Here is a 23014-nt window from a genome sequence, read left to right on the forward strand (position 1 = left end):
TTCAATATTGGGAATATTGCATATAGTTAGGATTTTGTGTGTGATACGGCAAGAGTTATAAACTCATGGGTGTTCCCAGCCTTAACTCTTTGCCTGCCATCTAAAGAAGATTTTGAATTTGCCATTTCAGTTATTCCCTCCCCCTACAGTCTGAAGAGGGTTCTAGGTTGCTAGGTTTCCATGTTTTGTGGGCATTGTGATGCAGAGTCAAAAGAACTGTGAAACAGGAGTAAGTGGAGAGGTAGAGGGCAGAAGAAAAGGGGTCAAGAAGGCAGGACCCCGTGAAGCACACCTTTCCTAAGGATTTTGACGAATGAGAATGAAGATAAACTGTGAGTTGAAAGTGAAAGAGAAAGCATAAGGGATCTTAGTAAGTGCTTCTTAGCTTGTGTATCCATTTTAGAATATACGTAAGAAATTATTTTAAAGTTAGCTTTGGTTTCTTGATTTATCATTTGTTGATGTAGATCTTATTCTGAGAGTTGTCGCTCTGGGTCAGGGATTTAATATGTTCACATATGTTTGATATGAACATATGCAGAAAAGTTCCTGGTTTCATTTGTCACAACATTTTGAGTGATGCAATCATTTTAAAGTAAAACTAACAAATTTGAAAGAAACAGAAGATAAGGTCCCTCAATTGAAGAAATTAGGATATGGTGGGGATTTCTGGCCAGTCATGAGTGCATGGGAATCAGAAGGCATATGTTAGTTGAAGCTCTTTCATCTGAGGTGAAGTGAACTTGTATATTGGAGGGGTTTGTCAGCAGGGAAAGATGGGACATTTACATAAAGAAGTCTGATTGAGCTGATGAGTCATTAATGTAATTTAGTGTAAAATATTTAAAGTTTTGTTAGAAGTAATGCATGTCTTTCTCCAGAGCATGTGGGCATTGGAGGATACAGTATAAATAGAATACAAATAAACTACTTTCAATATAAAGGATAATCAAAACTGATTTAGAAAGATTCAAAACAGTCAGGTTCTTTTAAAACTCCATATGTATCTTTTGATTCTCAACAGGTCATTATGTAAAAATCTTGGTCAGAAGAGAATATTTGAAAACACAACCCTGGTATTTAGAATAAAGTGTAATATTGTGCTTCTTCAGGGCCCTGATTATCAACTCAAATGTCATTTATTTTAAGGATTTTAAACATTATAATTTTAAAAGCTATCAGGCATATACATCTACATTTATCTTTGTGGAAAAAATGATTTTGGTTTTCTGTATAACAAACAGTGAAATGTTGTGTGTGTGTGTGTGTATACATACACTGAAGCATTTTGGTTTATTTTTAATATATATTAAAATTTATATTTAATGTATATATATTTTTAGTGTTTATATTTAATACATATATTTATAATGCTCTATGTAAGTGAAGTATAGAACACTAAATACTTTAAAAATACCAGAAAACAGAAGAAAACAGCAGACTCGGTGGTAAACACAGTCATTTGGCTGAGTTATTTAAAAAAAAAGATTAAATAAGAAAGACATATGATTGTTGACTATTTCCAAACATATGTCCAAACATTAAATAATAAATATTGAGAGGTTTAACAGAATACATATAGCCTTCTTGTGCAATTCCAGGGAACGTTTAATTTTTAATGAGTAATAATAAACTTAAGTACATAGTTTTGTGATGTAATTACATTTCAGAGGGCAATACGCCTTTAGATATCACATATTATGTTTATTGAAAAACCAGTCTTAACATAGTTGAGTGACATAAATATATGTGATAAATATACTAGTATATTCACAATGAACACTGGATATTTCTTTTGTGTGTGTGTGTGTGTGTGTGTGTGTATTTACATATGTATTTTTTTCTTTTTTTTTTGTCTCACATACTTATCTTTATTTTTTGTAGTGAGAACACTTAAAATCTACCCTTTTAGCAATTTTCTTTTTTTTTAAATTTTATTATTATTATACTTTAAGTTTTAGGGTACATGTGCACAACATAAAGTTTTGTTACATATGTATGCATGTGCCATGTTGGTGTGCTGCACCCATTAACTCGTCATTTAGCATTAGGTATATCTCCTAATGCTATCCCTCCCCCCTCCCCCCACCCCACAACAGTCCCCGGTGTGTGATGTTCCCCTTCCTAACACTGGATATTTCTTATATACAAACCTATTTCAGAATGTAGAAGGGAACAATGAATCTCATAGTTATCCTGAATGTGCAAGTGGAAGACCCTACCAAACAGCAGAGCAGCATAGATGCTTTTCTTGGGGGAAGAAGGTGCAGGAGCTATTTTTTCCTTTCTTTTATGAAAATATCTTTATTTGTTTTCAGGGTGCATCTGACAAGCCTTAGATGACCTCCAGCAACTTCAGTTCTCACCGAATTACTGCATTTCAGCCTTACTGAGAAGCAGCCAGTCATACTATCCTCAAATTTTGTGAGTTCAATTTACTTTATTTAGAAAGTCTCTAAAATGTAGACTCTGTCTATTGTTTTACCTTGATGCTAACTGCTGATGCTGAGATGTTTATGTAGAGAGATTTTCCAATTGCCAATATTAAAAACATAAAACTCAGCAAAGCTTAGCAAGGACCCAAAAATATGCCTGTGAAATGATCAGAGTGTGTGAGGACTCTGAAGAAGAAAGTAAAGCAAAAGTATACTAGAGAATGGAGATTGAGAAATACATATATTTAAATGTTAGAGTTTTACAATGCACGTACAAAAAAACATAAGTAAAATAAAGATAAATAAAGCAGGATAAGAAAGTATCACATAGTAACAGAAGCAAAAGAATGAAATACTTAAAAGTTGGTGGAAATGAAAAGTATACTACTCCATGACTTAGAAACAGCACAAGACAAAGATACGAGATAAACTTCAATTGTGATCACTATTATTGGTGTATAGGAATGCTTGTGATTTTTGCACACTGATTTTGTATCCTGAGACTTTGCTGAAGTTGCTTATCAGCTTAAGGAGATTTTGAGCTGAGACGATGGAGTTTTCTAAATATACAATCATGTCATCTGCAAACAGAGGCAATTTGACTTCCTCTGTTCTTATTTGAATGCCCTTTCTTTCTCTCGCCTGATTGCCCTGGCCAGAACTTCCAATGCTATTTTGAATGGGAGTGGTGAGAGAGGGCATCCTTGTCTTGTGGCAGTTTTCAAAGGGAATGCTTTCAGTTTTTGCCCATTCAGTATTATATTGGCTGTGGGTTTGTCATAAATAGCTCTTACTATTTTGAGATACGTTTCATCGATACCTAGTCTATTGAGAGTTTTTAGCATGAAGGGGTGTTGAATTTTGTCAAAGGCCTTTTCTGCATCTATTGAGATAATCATGTGTTTTTTGTCATTGGTTCTGTTTATATGATGGATTATGTTTACTGATTTGCGTATGTTGAACCAGCCTTGCATCCCAGGGATGAAGCTGACTTGATCATGGTGGATAAGCTTTTTGATGTGCTGCTGGATTTGGTTTGCCAGTATTTTATTGAGGATTTTTGTATCGATGTTCATCAGGGATATCGGCCTGAAATTCTCTTTTTCTGTTGTGTCTCTGCCAGGTTTTGGTATCAGGATGATGCTGGCCTCATAAAATGAGTTAGGGAGGAGTCCCTCTCTTTCTATTGTTAAAATAGTTTCAGAAAGAATGGTACCAGCTCCTCTTTTGTACGTCTGGTAGAATTTGGTTGTGAATCTGTCTGGTCCTGGACTTTTTTTGGTTGGCAGGCTATTAATTACTGCCTCAATTTAAGAACTTGTTATTGGTCTGTTCACGGATTCGACTTCTTCCTGGTTTAGACTTGGGAGGGTGTATGTGTCCAGGAATGTATCCATTTCTTCTAGATCTTCTAGTTTAATTGTGTAGAGGTGTTTATAGTATTCTCTGGTAGTAGTTTGTATTTCTGTGGGATCAGTGGTGATATCCCCTTTATCACTTTTTATTGCATCTATTGGATTCTTTTCCTTTTCTTCTTTATTAGTCTGGCTAGCGGTCTATCTATTTTGTTGATCTTTTCAAAAAAACAGCTCCTAAATTCATTGATTTCTGAAGGGTTTTTTGTCTCTGTCTCCTTCAGTTCTGCTCTGATCTTAGCTATTACTTGTCTTCTGCTAGCTTTTGAATTTGTTTGCCCTTGCTTCTCTAATTCTTTTAATCGTGAGGTTAGGGTGCCGATTTTAGATATTTCCTGCTTTCTCTTGTGGGCATTTAGTGCTATAAACTTCCCTCTAAACACTGCTTTAGCTGTGTCCCAGAGATTCTGGTTTGTTGTGACTTTGTTCTCATTGGTTTCAAAGAACTTATTTATTTCTGCCTTCATTTCGTTATTTACCCAGTAGTCATTCAGGAGCAGGTTGTTCAGTTTCCATGTAGTTGTGCAGTTTTAGTGTTTCTTAATCTTGGGTTCTAATTTGATTGCACTGTGGTCTGAGAGACTGTTTATTATGATTTCCTTTCTTTTGCATTTGCTGAGGAGTGTTTTACTTACAATTATGTGTTCAATTTTAGAATAAGTGCGATGTGGTGCTGAGAAGAATGTATATTCTGTTGATTTGGGGTGGAGAGCTCTGTTCATGTCTGTTAGGTCCAGAGCTGAGTTCAAGTCCTGAATATCCTTGTTAATTTTCTGTCTCATTGATCTGTCTAATATTGACAGTGGGGTCACTACCTCCAATAAAAGATATAACGTTTGATAGAAAAATAGTCACCCTTGAATTAATATCAAACTCTGAAAAAAATAATTGAAGATTAAATTGAAGGGAATAATGAGCATGAGATAATAAAAGCTCAGCAGTATTGGAACAGAGAAAGCATGTTGAGTGAATAGAGGAAAAAGTTGGTTAGGGGAGATGGAGTCAGATTGTGGAGGGTCTCTGAAGACTGCAGTTATGAGATAAGGTTCCACATAATTCTACATCAATTCTACATCTTTAAATCCTGCTAACTTATCCATAAATCCTGCCTATGTTAGCTCATAAAAACTAGCCATGAGAATAAAAACCATGTTAGTCAATTTCTCAAACTCCACCACTCCACCAGATTTCTTTTCAGCCCACTTGCATTCGCCTTTCTCCACCATGGAATTCAGTAAGAATGTTCCCTGCCCATAATCCTGCTCTGAAGAAATTTCTCAAGTTGATTGTTCAAAGTCCTCTCATAGAGTAGAAGTGGAAGCATAGAGTTCAGAGTATTAGGGTACACTGAAAGTGTTTGAGCGGGTAAAAGACATAAGGAAAGTAAAAGGTAAGAGGAGAGGGGTGACAGGAGAGTGGTGAGTGTAGAGTTTGCCATCAGTGAAATCTGCCACTATAAGTAGTAAAGCAAGCATGAGGTAATTTTCAGCTTGACTAGTGCTGAGGCATTGAGAATGAACAGAAAGTGGTGAATTTGGAAGACATTTTAATAAATGAACTCAGAATTTGAATTTCATTCATCAGCTTCCTACTTTCTTATCTACCCTACTTTCCCTTCTCACGATTCACAATTGCACCTCTTTGTACAGACATTACTTTTATTTTATTTATCCATTTTATTTATTTATTTATTTATTTATTTATTTATTTATTTAAAGATGGAGTCTTGCTCTGTCATCCAGGCAGGAGTGCAATGGCACGATCTCGGCTCACTGCAACCTCTGCCTCCTGGGTTCCAGCGATTCTCCTGTCTCAGTCTCCCAAGTAGCTAGGACTACAGGCGCCCACCATTATGCCCAGCTAATTTTTGTATTTTTTGTAGAGACAGGGTTTCACCAGGTTGGTCAGGCTGGTCTTGAAGTTTTGACCTCAGGTGATCCGCCCGCCTCAGCCTCCCAAAGTGCTGGGATTACAGGCATGGGACACCGCGCTTGGCCTAGACATTACTTTTAAAAACGTAGGTTTTTAAGAAAAGTAAAAATTACAGGGGAAGAACGGCTTGTACCTTATACAAATTCAACCATATCATTTTCACATAGGTCTTAATTTTCTTTTAAACATATACACTCATAATACCTTCCTCCTATTTTAGCCCCATTTTAAATTCTCAGGTGGGTAATACAGATCCATCTTATTCAATGAAAATTATTTATAATTCACCATCCAAAAGGAAATAATTGGGCCTTCTCTTCAGAACTAAATGTGTTCTAGTGCATAGGGTATATACCTAAAATAGCCAAATGAGAGGTTATGTTATTCCAAGTTTACTGAAATTCCATAATTAAGTTATGAGAAAACATATTTAATAGGAGGCTTACATTTGCCCTCAGTTTTCACTTTATTCTGTGGGTTTGTGACTCTGATACAATATTTATAGTTGCGAGAAGGCACAGAAATAGCACATTCACAGGCTTTTTGCCATGACCAAAGAATTGACTTCTTATAAAATGGAACATACATAAATTTAGTAAATCTTTGTCTTCTTTCCCATAAATAGAACCCAGGATGAGTTATCCTACTAAAGAAGGAAGTGATACAGCTGGAAATGCTCACAAAAATTCTGAAAATGAGCCTCCTAATGACTGTAGTACAGACATAGAGTCTCCATCTGCTGATCCCAATATGATCTATCAGGTAGAAACCAACCCAATAAACAGGGAGCCAGGCACAGCAACCTCCCAGGAAGATGTTGTTCCTCAAGCAGCAGAAAACAGCGAGCTCGAAACAGAGATCCAAAAAGATCAACGAGAAGAAGATCTAAAAGAAGAGCTTCTTCTACTTCAGACCCCCATTCCCAGAAAATTGGTCTCTCACAAGCCCTTAAATGATAGATCAAGATCCCACTCAGGGAAAGTTGAGATGAAAGCAAACAATTTCCCCATAAATCACAAAACTCGTTTTCGACTTTCAACTTCATGGAGAGTCCCATTTATTAACAGTCATGAGATAAGAAGTATGATTCTCCATCTGCTATGTGATAGATATTTCTCTCAGGCTGCAGGGTGTCAGAATACCATGTGGGTAAAGCGAAAATATATAGCATGTCTTTACCATCCAAATAGTTTCACCCATCACGAGAGAGCCATAACATTTAGAAGGCCTTCGAGGGTGCACTACTACCGTCCCCTCACTGAGAGAATGACATCAGGAAAATTTTGCAAATCAACTGACACTAAAGGGAAATGTAGATTCCGTGCTATTGTGAGGTCTGTGCTCTTTGTGTCACAGATACAAATTGAAAGTATTTTTAATATAAAAGGTTTTGTGGATATATTGACATATATCCATACCATGAATGTTATGATCACAAACACCAATAATGGTTGGAAATACTTTTGTCCCATCTGTGGAAGGCTTTTTAACACTTACTCTGAATTAAGACAACATTCATGCAGCTCTTCTGGGAATTAAATTAAATTGGGGTAAATTCATTTTAAAATATAACTTCTAAAATTCATAATTTGACTACTAAAGTAAGACAAAATTGCATGAACATAAATTTTAGTATTATTAGAGGGAGTAGCAGAAAGGAACACAAACTAATAGTACCTCTCAGTAAGAAATACCTATGGGGAGTGAGGAAACATCTGTTTATACTTTGCTTTTACAAGTACATCATTGAAATATCAGACCTGTCATCTATATTGAGTCAGCATTTGAACCAAGTAAATGTTTTCACTGTCTTAACATCTATTTCTGTAGATGTAAATATTGTTAACATAAAAGAATCCAAGTTAACAGGATCCTGACTAAGATAGCAAACATATATTGGAAGGCCAGACAAAGTTCTACCAAGTGTTTCCAGAGATTCTGCTACATGTATTATCTGAAATGTTCTCCATATATTCAATAAAAACCAATTTGAAGACATAGAAAGTTGTATTGTATATTTGTAATTAGAGAAGAATTCCTATGTCTGGAATAAAAAGATTCAACATACTATAAAATACACAATACTTGGGTAATTTTGAAGATACAGAATAATAACAAAACTCATAAAAAAGTATATGATAGAAGTGAAACAGTTTGAAGTAAAAGTGAACAAATATTAAATTGATACCATATAACTGTAAACCTTTTTGCTTGTATAGCACATTCACCATTGTTCACAATCACTACACAAAGTTTACCTTCCCCTCCATACATACATGCACAAATGTGTGCACATATTTAAGACGTTCCTTATCTTGTTCTTGCAGCTCAAACATCTATACTTCTTTTATTTAATCTGCATACTCATTAAAGTTAGAGTCTATAACTACACCTCATATTTTTTACCATCTTATATTTAATATATAATGAATATAGGAATATAATATGTAATATGTATGCAGTGCATGTATTTTATATAATATGTATGTGTTATATAATTTATACTTTGAGTACCCATTATATGTGAAGCACTATGCCAGCATAATTTTATGTGTTAGTTAATCTTTGCAACAATCTAAAATTTTTTAATTTTCATGGCATGATTAAATGTATGGAAGCAGTTTCTAGAAAATTGAATGACTTTACCAGGTCACAGAGTAAATGCATGCTATTGTCACTGCATGTTATAACTGGAATTGAATAGGAAACTTTTTGCACATTATGCCTTATTTAATATGTATGTACTTATATTTGAAATAGCATATAGAATTTATTTCATCCATGGATATACTGTATTATAGAAATTCTAAACTTGAAGCAGAGGATACTTAAGCTACATCTACAACAGGTCAAATTTGTTCATCTGGAGGAAAATTTGATGCTTCCAGATACAATTATTCAGTGTGAGCAATGGATTGGATTAAACAGTTAAACAAAGACAATTCAAAAAACTGAATATTTCTCCATTAAAAAATATATTCTATATTAATTTTTATCTCATTTTCTTTTGAATATAAAAGATAATTTTACAAAAACATAAGCCATCAGGTAGAAACTAACAAAAATAAAAAAGAAACATTCTTCTTTTTTTCACTTTTCCTAACTAGGGATGAAATAAAAATAGTACTTGTTATTAAAAAAAAACGGGTTTTATCACTGACATATTACCATCCATAGAATCAATATATTTGCTGGTAAACCTCCACAGAATTTGAAAACATAATTTGAATGCAGAAAAATAGTTAAACTTGATAGTATTTACATTTTCACTTTTTTTCCCAAAATACAAAGACATCTATTTAGCTAAAACTTTAGAAATGACATATTAAAATTAGAATTGAGTCAGAATGGAGAAATTAGAAAAATGTAAACGAAACAATCCTAGATTTATCCTTCTCTAGCAACCCACTTGAAAGATTTTCATAAGTACCAAAGTAGGGGAACCATGCTTTTACTTAAAAAAAACATGAATAATTCAGTCCAATGTTCAAAAAAATAAAGTGTTCTATTTTTTACTTTATTTATTCATTTTTTTTTTCTGAGACAGAGTCTCGCTGTGTCGCCACCCAGGCTGGAGTGCAGTGGCACAATCTCGGCTCACTGCAACCTTCACCTCCTGGGTTCCAGTGATTCTCCTGCCTCAGCCTCCTGAGTAGCTGGGATTACAGGTGGGTGCGACTACGCCCATCTAATTTTTGTATTTTTATTAGAGACGGGGTTTCACTATCTTGGCCAGACTGGTCTCAAACTCCTGTCCTCAAGTGATCCACCCACCTCTGCTTCCCAAAGTGCTGGGATGACAGGCATGAGCCACAGCGCCTGGCTCTGTGTTCTCTTGTTCTTTAATTTACAAATCAACTCAACACTTTATAGATATCCTTATTTTTTCTTAAAGATGTAGGAACAAGCATGTATATTTATGGTTATATTAATAATTTTCATAATTCACATAATTTTTTAATAAAATATGGGTATAAGATACTTTCTTTACTTCATATTTACATAGTAACTAGCATCTAAAATATTAGCTTACTTTTAACATGACAATGACTAGAAAATGATATACTCAACACAGAGTAGAATACATTTTTTAGAGGAAATAAATTATAGAACCCTGAAGATGGCAGCCTATTACTATTTTAATGTTCTCAATTTTTTACTAGTTTAAAATTATATTTCAAAAGTTTATCTTATAACAAAGTTTTTTTTGGTTTGCCTCCTAGCATTTCAGTGTCATCAGTGCATTGAATATCTCCTCATAAATTATGTTTTAGACATATTTAGCCAGAACAATTTCAGGTTTATGGAAAAATCAGACTGCCTCACATGTGTGATAGTAATTTTATTCTGGCTTATACAAGGTACCTTAAAAGTTAAATTGAAAGCATGAAAAGCATTGAGGGAAATTTTCTAAAATTATGATAAAAAAGTGAATTCCCAAACAATATTGGATTTTATTCTCACTCTTAAGGGGCCTACTTATTGTTTGATACCATTAGTTTTACATAGAGCCAATCTTGGATAATTTAATCAATAGAAATAAAGGGGCAGATAGAGTAAGTGTCTATGATGTGTGAATTTTGGATTCCTTGTTGCATCAGGGTTTGGGATAGAAGCCCAGAAACTGTGGACTTATGCACTAAGAATCCAGTACTATAGTTATTCATATTCTATAAAACAGACTTTAATTATAATTAGACCTCTATTATTTAGTGTTCAAGTATAATATGCATCAATATACTAAAATAAAGTTAGTCTGTAGTTATTTGCTCAATTGTCTATTTGAAATAAAAACTATTTATTTATTTAGATCAGTATATTAAATCAACCCATACATTTTATTAAAACGTTTGAATAGTATGATGCTAAAAACTAATATTAATTTTATAAAACTTTCTTTTTTGAAACAGTAAAACTTGAGTAACCAGGCATTTATAATTTATTGCATCTAGTACCCAGCTAGGAAATAAGAACGAGTTATTATGCACTAAAGTGATGATTAGGGTTATCTACGGATTTGATAAAGGATTATTTACTCTTCTTGTTCTTGCTGTATTCTAATTATCTGGGTTCAGGAAGAGGAAAGGAAACATCAGCCTAAACATGGTTCAGATATGAAAATCTTCAACTTTTCTAAGACTCATTATAGCCCACGCTAGTGAATAGGTAGGTAGTTAGAGAAAATTTGTCATGTTGTTGCTACATGTCTTGTGAAGAGACACTGACAGCTGTTGTTCCAGTCTTTTAATGGGTATTTGTATAGCAAACAACCTTGGAAGCTGGAGATACTGTCTCCCTGCTGGACCCAAGGGCAGAGGATAGATTTCTTTCCTAACCAGTATAATAAAGATGATGTCTCCTTCAAGGGCAAAGGTTGGGCAAGTTTGCAAGCAGCCCTCTTACATGATTGATAGTTTCCTAAACTCTAGGTTCCTTGTGTGTGACACGAACTCACTGTGTGTAGTATTTACCTGTGCCACTCTGCATTACCCTTGTGTGACTTGAAGAGCAAGAGAAATCAATGCAAATATGAAGGTCATGCTGCCTTCTCTGCCCCTTGAGTAATAAAGTCCTTTCTCTCTGACCCAGGTGCCCCATGTCTTTTGCCAGTATCTATGAAACTGCAGCAAGTTAACTTGTTAGCTTACAAGCAGGATAAAATGTCAAACCTGTCACCATTCTTGATATCTGAAAGAGAGCTGGGTGAATAAAATTCCATTAAACAATTTTTATTATTTTTTACTAAATGACACTTTCTATTATTTCAATAGACTCAAACTACACCATCTTTTGAGAGCTTAACATTATTAGCTGGGATAAAGTATTTGTGTGAATGTCTAAGCACACAGCTTAATGAAAGAAATACTGGGATAATTTTGAAATTTCTCATTCTCATCTTCATGAAAGAGCCAGATGAAAGAGCCACTTCTGTGAATGGAGGAAGTTACATATCATTATCTTGCTTCTGAATCTGTGCTTATAGAATATAAACACAATAACCTTCACTAACTTATTATGAGAAAACTTTACCTTCTGCTAGATATTCTCATGATAACACTCACTCCTTCTTAGTAACACCTAGAAGTACCTGGCAGTCAGAATAAGAATGACACAAAAATAAAAGCAAGCAAGTGACTTGCATAATTTAACTGAGAGACACTAGGCTACTTATTAATTAATAGAGAGTAGAGAAAATTAGAAGTTAAATATTGATATGTAAGTTACTAAAAGATTTAAAAACATTTGGAATTACATGGCATTTTGGATCTTTAAGCATTTGGCTGTTTGTCCTTTCAGAGTTATTCCTGATATTTTACTGTATTTTTTTCAATAAAGATGCTATAACTTAAAATATCATTGCACAGATAACATAAAACATATGCACTATGTGAAAATTTGAAACTGTACTTATGCTACAAACATTTTTAAATGACTTCACTTAGAGGGTGACTATATCAACAGACAGTATGAAGTAACAACAACAAATACATATTCTCAATATATTCTTCATAGAGTAGTTATGCTGTTGAATAATCTATAGAATCTAGTCTTTATTATAAATACATATTTGTCCAGGGAAATGTAACATGAATCATTCATTTGTCCAAATATGTATTTGATATATTTATATATCTATGTGTGTGTATATATGTATGTACACATACATATGTACACATACATATGTACACATATATATGTACACATACATATATATATATATATAGAAAGAGAGAATTAAACATATATATTTGCTTTGTCTCAGACTCTGAGACAATTGATGATATTAAAACAAACCACACAGAAATAGGCACGGTGACTCCTGTCTGTAATCTCAGCACTTTGGGAGGCTGACAGGAGCATCATTTAAGCCCACGAGTTTGAGACCAGCATGGGCACCATAGTAAGATACAAAATAAAAATAAAAATGAGCACCAGAGTGAGACACAAAAATAAAAATGAGCACCAGAGTGAGACACAAAAATAAAAATATTATCTAGGGGTGGTGGCACATGCCTGTGGTCCCAGCTACTCAGAAGGCTGAGGTGGGAGGACCCCTTGATCCCAGGAGGTTAAGGCTGCAGTGAACTGTAATTGTGCCACTGCCCTCCAGCCTGGGCAACAGAGTAAGACCCCATCTCAAAAAAAAAATATCATGAAGGAAATTTTCAAAAAAATCTGGTAATCAAAAGAAAAATGAGGACATGGTTTTGTAGTGGATATTATGATATGCTAATCAGATACTCTTCTTAAAAATTGAGACCCTCATTGCCCAAACATCAAGGATTTCTGCCTTCTGAATACAGTGTAATCCCTAGTAATTGCTTTGAACCAAGGGAACTGTCACTCACAAGGTTACATTTCTTTCCATGGCTGGCACACCTCCAATTACTGGCCAATGATAGGGTAAAAAACTTGGCCACCTTGCCTCATTTTAGAACATCTCTGAAGTGCCACCCCAACTCCAGCCCCCACACCCGAAATTATCTGAAGACTTTTAAGTACTTTATGTTCAAACTCCCCCTATGAGTAATCCTGCTTCTTTCATACTCACAGTTGTTCTTGCCCATGGCATTTCCCTTTCCTCAAGTCATACTGAACATAAGTCTCTACTCAGAGTCTTTTTCCTAGTGAAACTGATCTAAGACAATTTGTAACAAAGAAAACAGGTAAGAACAATTAACAGAGACAGACAGAAATAATAGGACCTAATGTCAATGTCATTAGCTTGAATGTTATTAAGAGGCATAGACAGTTGTTTTAATAAGAGTAAATCACCTGGGAAATCTGTGTTGAATGAAGCAGAAGAGGGAAATCAATATTCACTAACTTTAAACATCATAGCTACAAGATAAAAAAAATTTAAGCTATCACAGGTTTTTCTAGATGTCACTAAAGACTATTTCAGACTGAGCCTTTTGTTCTTATTTGCTTATATAATAGTGCATCCTTTATACTTGGAACACATTTAGAAAATCATATATTATATATCTGGATAGATATACACAACAGTGCGTATTTCCCAAGTACACTACATTAGAACAACTTGGGTATCAGGGAATGTATATCAGATTCACTGATCCTCACAAGAAAGAAGAAATAACAGAAAGTTCATCCTCACAAAATTTCCCTCCCAGAAATTATTCTCTACATCCTTCATCCATGTTAGGTTTGAAACTGGACAGACTTTCTAGCCATTTAAAAATTACACATGATACTGTTTCTTCATCTTTTTCTCACTCTTTTTTTCTTATCTATATTGTATCTCTTTCCTGAAAATGAGCTACAAATAAAGAGTACCCTAAAAATCCCCCAGCTTTGTGGAGGAAATGGCAGATGTAACTTGAAGCTTCAATTTTCTAGTTGTATACATGTAATTCTAATATATTTAATTATTACATCTAAAATTTAGAAGGAAAAGTAATTAGCTTTACTGAGTCTCTGATAAATGTATAACTCTGTCAGGCACTTTAAAAAATAGTATTTGCCAAATTCAGTGAATTGCGTTTACCACCCAAGACATCTGCCATATCCAAGTAACACTTGCATTATGTACATAATGATTTTATCTAAATTGACTTTTTAAAATTAAATAAATGTACAACGGACATCAGTGGATAAAAATTATATATGTGTATATATAGTCTAAATTATATATTTGTATATATAATCATATATATATATATAGTAGATAGGACAATGGCCTCTGAAAAAAGAGTAGCACTCAAAGTTTGAAAGTAGTGACTAGCAACTTCAGGGATGGCAAGATATCTGGGTATTGACATGCTGATCCACAAATTTAGGAGCCAAGATCAATAGTCAGCAAGAAAAGGGTACAAACATGGGTGCCTACATGAACCTGTGATATACTACAAATTATACAGCAAAAGGAAATTCCAGATTAAGAGGAAAAATATTGCCGGAGGGTAGATGCATAAATTGATAGAAGGGAAGAGATTGGGCATCTGCAACTGACACAGTCTTATAAGAGTATTACAGAGAGAGGTTTTACTTATTATACAATAAGGTTACATGTAAAGAAAAAGTAGGGGCTATGTGAAATGGGAGGACATTAGGAAGGTATGTATGGGTTGAAGTTGAGAGATAAAGAGTGAGTAACAGTACAGGTCTATGGACTAAGATAAACACAACCTTAGGGAAGATTTTGGCTGAGGGAGAAATTTAGTTCGGAGAAGAATATGTAGAATTAATTATTGAATGATTAAAGAAAAGGTTAACACTGCCTTAGCTATGTCCCAGAGTTTCTGGTATGTTGTATCTTTCTTCTCATTAGTTTCAAAGAATTTTTGATTTTTGCCTTAATTTTGTTGTTTACCCAAAAGTCATTCAGAAGCAGGTTGTTTACTTTTCATGTAATTATATGGCTTTGAGCAATTTACTTAGTATTGATTTCTATTTTTATTTTGCTGTGATCTGGGAGTAAGGTTGGTATGATTTTGGTTGTTTTGAATTCGCTGAAGATTGTTTTATATCTGACTGGGTGGTTGATTTTTTAGATTATATGAAATGGGCAGATGAGAAGAATACATTTTCTGTTGTTTTTGGGTGGAGTGTTCTGTAAATGTCTATTCAGTCTATTTGGTCAAGTGTCAAGTTCAGTTTCTGAATATATTTGTTAGTTTTCTTCCTTGATTATCTCCCTAATACTGCCAGTGGGGTGTTGAAGTCTCCTACCATTATTGTGTGGTTATCCAAGTCTCTTTGTAGGTCTCCAAGAACTTGCTTTATGAATATGGGTACTTCTGTATTAGGTGCATATATATTTCAGATAGTTAGGTCTTGTTGAATTGATCCATTTACCATTATGTAATAACCTTCTTTGTCCTTTTTGATTTTTATAGGTTTAAAGTCTGTTTTGTCTGAAACTAGAATAGCAACCCCTGCTTTTTTCTGTTTTCTGTTTGATAGAATTTCTCCATCCCCATATTATGGGTGTCATTGCCTGTAAGATAAATCTCTTGAAGACAGCATACTGTTGGGTCTTGCTGCTTTATTAAACTTGCCACACTGTGTAATTTAATTGGGACGTTTAGCATGTTTACATTCTAAGTTAGTATTGATATATGTAAATTTGATCCTATCATCATGTTGTTAGCTGGTTATTAAGCAGATTGTTTATATGGTTGTTTAATAGTGTCACTGGTCTATGTACTTAAGGGTGTTTTTGTAGTGGCTGGTAATAGCTTTTCCTGTCCATGTTTAGCACTCCCTTCAGGACCACCTGTAAGGCAAGTCTGGTGGCAATAAAACCCTTTAACATTTGCTTTTCTGAATAAGATCTTATTTCTCCTTCACTTATGAAGATTAGTTTGGCTGGATATGGAATTCTTAGCTGGGAAGTCTTTTCTTTAAAGATCCTGAATATAGGCCCCCAATCTCTTCTGCCCTCTAAGGTTTCTGCTGAAGGGTCCACTGTTAGGCTAAAGGGGTTCCCTTCGAAGGTGGCCCGCCCATTCTCTCTAGCTATCTTTAACATTTTTTTCTTTCATGTCAACCTTGGGAAATCTAATGACTATGTGTCTTGTGTAGTATTTCACGGGGGTTCTCTGCATTTCCTGAATTTGACTGTTGGCCTCTCTAGTGAATTTGGAGAAATTTTCCTAAATGATATCCTGAAATATGTTTTCTAAATTGCTGGGTTACTCCCAGTCTTTCTCAGAGATACCAATGAGATGTGGAGTTAGTCTCTATATAATCCCATATTTATCAGGAGTTTTGTTCCTTCTTCTTTATTGTCTTTTATTTTTGCCTGAGTTATTTTAGAGAGCTGGTCTTCAAGCTCTGAGGTCCCTTTTCAGCTTCATCAGATCAGAGCCCTATTTCATGTCATATGCAAAAAAAAAAACGAATCAAAATGGATTGTAGACTAAATCTAAGACCTCAAACTATGATATTACTAAAATAAAGCATTGGGGAAACTCTCCAAAACTTTGGACAGGTAAAATATTTCTTGAGAAATACCCCAGGAGCATGGGCCATCACAGCAAAAATGAACAAATGAAATAATGTCAATTTAAAAAAACTACAACAAAACAAAAATAACATTTAACAAAGTGGAGAGACAACCCACAGCATGGGAGAAAATATTTGCAAACTACCCATCTGACAAGGGATTAATAACCACAATAATAGGAAGCTCGTATAGGAAAAAGATTATGGCCATGTGTGGTGGCTCACACCTGTAATCCCAGCACTTTGGGAGGCCGAGGCGGGTGGATCACCTGCAGTCAGGAGTTCGAGACCAGCCTGTCCAACATGGTGAAACCCCATCTCTACTAAAAATACAAAAATTAGCTGGGCATCGTGAAGGGCACCTTTAATCCCAGCTACTTGGGAGGCTGAGGCTGGAGAATTGGAAAATGTGGGTGAGAGTGATTTTTCCCCTCACCCCTCTGACAATCTGCTGATTGCCAAACTGTTGAGACACGCTTTTGCTCTTGTGACCCAAGGCAATGCTATCAGTGACAATTTGGGTACTTCCTGGGGACAGAGAAATAGGTGGCCAGCTTCTGAAGGCATGCCCACCTCAAAGCCAATCTCAGATGGTGGGCACCATATGGGTTGTACACTCATGATGGACCTCTGTCCTGCTCAAGGATTCTCTGCCCTTGAGTCACTGCCACACCATATCCCCCCAAACATACCTTATAGCTTACTCCAACTGTGGAAACAGAAGGGATCAGGAGGTCCCCAGAAAGCTGTGGGACCTCTGAAGACCTAACTCCTGTTATGGTTCACCTGTAAGGAGGAGTGAGCTCATCTCACCAAGGCCCTCTTGGGAAAAGGAAATGCAGGTACAGTGCCAATCACTGAAGAGGGCAACACTGACACCCAGGAACAGATGTGGAGAGAGTCACCTCCCTCTCCCACTCCCCATACACTGTGTGTTTTTTGCACCTTTTGCAGCAGCTCCATCCACACTGTAAGTAAGCCTGCTCCACTGAGGCTTACACAAAGGGCGGGATCCAACTGTCCCTCCCTAAACAGAGGAATAGCATCCTGGCAACAGGGGACAAACAAGTCACAAAATTTGCTGCCCTCAACTGGGAAAATGGCTCTGTCCTTGGTGCGTTTTTGTGGTAATCCCTATGTCATATCCACAACCCAAAGATGCACTGTGGCTGGAAACCACAGGATGAAATCTTTCTGAAGTAAAGGCCATGAGCCCTGCAACAGGGGCATGATAGGGGAGCGAGTCACTTTCTTGCTGCCTCAGGATGAGGAACTGGTGTAGACTCCTGCTCTTTACCCTGAGACCTCAGCACACTCCAACACAATCTCTTCCCATCACTCTACATCAGGGCAGGTGCTTTCACTGGACATCAGCCTGAGGGTGAGCCAAACCTTACTTTTAATTGCCGTCTGCTGGACTACAGCCTGAATACAACACCAAATAAAAAACCTACTACAAAAAGGGCTTAGTGCTAGTTCACAAGCTTCCTGAGACCTCTACACCTTCGGCCCCTCAGGAGAAAGTGTATGGGCTTGTACATCTGATACATTGCCACAACAGGCAGCATCTGCGAAAGCTACTTCATAGAAGCTACCTACAACCAAGGAACACATACAGAGCCTTGGCTCCCTGAAATCACCCAGAAATGTAGCCCAACAATTGTATGCAACAAACATCACAGTCGTACCTTCAAGGAAAAAAAAAAATTAAAAATTTCATCCAAAAAATAGCAAATTCAAAAAGAAGAAGCAATATCTCCTTCAGATGAAAAGGAATCAGTGCAAAAAAGTTAAAGTTTCTATCAGTTTAAAATAACTTGTTATAAATATAGAATTTATTTTGTAAGTCTTTTGGTAAGCGCAAAAAAGCTATCATAAATACACTAAAAATAAAACTAAATGATTTGAAATATGCTACCAGAGAAAATCACTAAAACACAAAAGAAAACAGGAAAAAAAGAGAGTGACAAACAACTATAAAACAAGTTACAAAATGGCAACAGTAAGGCTTTATTTATCAATAATAACATTGAATGTAAATGTGCCAAATTCTTCAATTAAAATATATTTAAAGGCTGAATGGAATAAAAAAACAAGACCCAACTATGTGTTGCCTATAAGAAACTCACGTCTCATATAAAGACAAATATGAACTGAAAGCGAAGGTATGAAAAAAGTTGTTCCGTGCAAATGGAAATGATAAAAGAGCAGGAGCAGCTATACTCATATCAAATAAAATGGATTGGAAGTCAAATCTGCAAAAAGAGACAAAGGAAGTGATTATATAATGATAAAAGAGTCAATGCAGCAAAAGGACATATCAATAGCAAATATATGCACCAAACACCTGAGTACCGAAATATATAAAGCGAGTATTAACAGATCATAAAGGAGAAACAGACTGCAATACAATTATAATAAGGAACTTCAACACCCCGCTTTCAGCAAAGGACAAATCATCCTGGAAGAAAATCAACAAAAATCATTTGAATTAAGCTATACTCTAGACTAAATTGACTTACAAGATATTTATAGACAATTTTATCTAACTGCTAGAAAATATGCATTCTTATCAGCACATGGAACATTATCAGGTATCTTTCCTGATAACAAGGTAATAAAACTAGAAATCTGTAACAAGAAACATTTTGGAAACTGTAAAAATATATGGAAACTAAACAACATGCTGATGAACAACAAATGGGTAAATGAAATTATGAAATTCATTGAAAATTTTCTTAAAACAAATGAAAATGAAAACACAGCATACCAGAACCTATGGGATACATTAATAGCAGTGCTAAGAACGAAGTTTATGGCAATCAAATAGAAATTCTTCAGATAAAAATGCAAAAGTACATCTCAAGAACTACAAAGGCAAAAAGAACCCAAACTAGAAATTAATAGAAGGAAATAAATAATAAAGATCAGAGTTTAAATAAATAAAATTAAGATTTAAAAAATACAAAAGATCAAGACAATGAAAATATGTTTTTAGGAGTTAAACAAAATCAACCAATGTTTACTAGACTAAGAAAAAAAAAAAGCTGAGTGCAGTGGCTCATGCCTGTAATCCCAAAAGTTTGGGTGGCCAAGGTAGGAAAATTGCTTGAGCCCTGGGTTTTGTGACCAGCCTGGGCAACACGGTGAGGTCCCATCTCTACAAAAAATTTACAAAAATTAGTCTGGCATGGTGACACACACCTGTGGTTCTGGCAAATCAGGAGGCTGAGGCAGGAGGATCACCCAAGCCCAGAAGGTCAAGGCTGCAGTGAGCTATGTTTGTGCTACTGCACTCCAGCCTGGGCAGCAGAACAAGACCCTGTATCAAAACAAAAGAGAAAGAGAGAGGGCCAAATAAATAAAATCAGAGACAAGAAAATCTGCAACTGATACCACAGAAATACAAATGGTGATTTGAGGGTTATAAACAACTACACATCAACAAATTGGAAAGCCTAGAAGACACAGTTAAATTTCTAGATACAAGCAACCTACCACAATCGAATCATGAAGAAATAGAAAACATGAACACGCCAATAATTCGTAACAAGATCAAAGGAGTAACAAAAAGTTGTCAAAGAAAAGCTCAGGACTTAATTATCTTATTGCTGAATTCTACCAAATATTAAAAAAACTAACACAAATTATAATCAACCTGTTTCAAAAATTAAAGATGAGGGAATACTTGTAATCACATTACATGGATCAGCAATACCCTGATATCAAAACTAGACAAATATACTACAAATAAAGAAAACAAAAGCCCAATATCGCTGATGAAAAATAGACGCAAGTCTTCAACAAAATACTAGACAACTGAATTCAACAACTCATTTATAAGATCACTCACCATGTTTGAGTAGAATTTATTCCATGGATGTAGAAATGGTTCAACACATGCAAATCTACAAACATGATAGATTACATCAACAGAATCAAGAAGAAAGACTATATAATTATTTCAACAGATGCTTGAAAAGCATTCAGTAAAATTAAACTCCCCCATGATAAAAACTTAAAAATTGGGTTTAGAAGAAACAAAATGATAAATGTCATTTATGACAAATTTACAGCTGAAATTAAACTGAATGGTGAAAAACTGAAATACTTTCAACTAAGATCTGCAATAAGACAAAGATAGCTACTTTACTACTTTTATTCAACATAGTACTAGGAGTCCTAACCAGAGCAATTAGGCAAAGGATAGTAATAAATGGCCTCTAAATAGGAAAAAAAATGTCAAATTATCCTTGCTTGTTGACAACATAATTTTATATAGAGAGAAATCTAGATTTCACCACAAAAATCTCAGAACTGTAAAATGAATTCCGGTAAGTTGTAGAATATGAAATCCATGGCATTTCTATATGTTAACAGCATTAAATCCAAAAAAATTTGATAAATCAGTCCACTTTCAGATAGGCACACACACACACAAATAAAATATCTAGGAATAAATTTAACAAATGAAGTGAAAGATCTCTGCAAAGAAAACTATAAAACACTAATACCAGAAATTAAAAAGGACATACAAAAAACTGAAAGGTTTTTCCATGATTATGGATTGGAAAAATTAATTTTGTCAAAATGACTATACTACCCCAAAGCAATCTACAGATTTAATGTAATACTTATCAAAATACCAATGACATTCTACATAATAAAAAGAAAATCCTAATATGCGTGTGAAACTATGAAAGACCATGAATATCCAAGCAACTCTAAGACCCCACCAAAACGTTAGTGGCATTATACTATCCGATTTAATATTATTCTACAAAGCTATAGTAACCAAAACTAGACAAAGCATTGTGTTGGCATAAAAAATAGACACATAGACTAATGAAACAGAATAAAGAACTCAGAAATAAATCCACACTCAGCCAACTCATTTTTGACAAAGTTGCCAGGAACACACATTGGGAAAAAGACAATCTTTTAAATAAATGGTGCTGGAAGGCCTGGATATTCATATGTAGAAGAATAAAACTAGTTATCCATATTGTACCTATGCAAAAAATCAATTAAAATGGATTAAAGCTGTAAATGTTAGACTTCAAGTTATGAAACTACTAGAAGATAACATTCAGGAAAAACTACAGGACAATGATCTGAATAACTATGATTTGAATAAGATCTCAAAAGCACAGGAAACTAAAGCAAAATATAGACAAATGGGATTACATTATGCTAAAGAGCTTCTGTTTAGGACTGGAAACAATTAACAAAGTGAAAAGATAACCAATAGAATGGTAGAAAATATTTACAAACTATCCATCCAACAAGGGAGTAATAACCAGAATATATAAGTAACTCAAACAGGTCAATAGCAATAATAATTAAATAATAATAATAATCTCATTTAAAAAATGGATAGAATACCTGAATAGACATTTCTCAAAACAAGACTTATAAATAGCCACAAGGTATAAAAAAATGCTCAACATGACTATTAATAAGGAAAATGCAGCAAGCTATACCCCTATGATCAAAATTTGAAGCATTTTTGTTTCTCTCTGCCTGGTTCCTCTAGAATTTGGAAACTATATGTGAGTATTCCTATGGCAATATAGCTGTTTGCATCAGTGCAATAAGAATTCAGTTTTTTTTTGCAACAGAACACAATTGGAAAAACTGTTAATTTTACCAAGGCTTTAACTGGAGGGGTATGCTTCCCTTTAAGGAGTCAACAGAGCCAATAAAAGTCCGGTGGGGAAACTGGACTCATAACCTTGTCTATGCAGTCCCTGTACAGGGTTTCTGACCTGTGGTTAGTAAAGAATGTCACTTTCTAACAGCTCTAGGAGCTCCAAGTTTATCTTGGGATCATAAGAGGAGAGGATCACCTAACTCATAGGTATTTGAGGATGTAACCCATGGCTGGGCTTGGTTTTAAAAGGTCTTATCTATAATTCTTTGTGGAGCACACTTCCATCAAAGCCAGTCCGAAAGGCCTATATACAAATAGTTATTCTTGCTGCACTTTATGCAAATAATCAGGCCAAGTATAAAACTAAAGTGTATTTTGCAAACCACTCAGCCCTATCATAATTGGTTTATTTTTTAACAAACAGGACTGGAGAGAGAGAAATCATGTTTCAAAACATATTTTTGTGATTAAATTCTAAACTCATTCATTGTTTTTATGTTTTCACCTACATTTTAAACTAACCCTGCTTGCTCCTGTAAACCAACCAGCAATCCCTGGCTGCAGCTCAGAAAGAACAAGAGGAATGGGTAATGTAGAAATCTGGATCA

General features: G+C 34.9%; 1 protein-coding gene across 2 annotated transcripts; it reads left to right on the forward strand.

The window, feature by feature from the left end:
* On the forward strand, window positions 226–7782 carry CPXCR1 (CPX chromosome region candidate 1). Of its 2 annotated transcripts, none has more exons than NM_033048.6 (3): window positions 226–370; window positions 2319–2424; window positions 6408–7782. In NM_033048.6, the coding sequence occupies exon 3, from the start codon at window positions 6416–6418 to the stop codon at window positions 7319–7321; it is 906 nt and encodes a 301-aa protein (NP_149037.5). In that variant the 5' UTR covers window positions 226–370; window positions 2319–2424; window positions 6408–6415; the 3' UTR covers window positions 7322–7782. The 2 variants fall into 2 exon arrangements, with proteins under 2 accessions (NP_149037.5, NP_001171700.2); NM_001184771.2 differs by having other exon boundaries at window positions 226–332.

This window comes from Homo sapiens, chromosome X (assembly GCF_000001405.40).
Source record: "Homo sapiens chromosome X, GRCh38.p14 Primary Assembly".
NCBI lineage: Eukaryota > Metazoa > Chordata > Mammalia > Primates > Hominidae > Homo > Homo sapiens.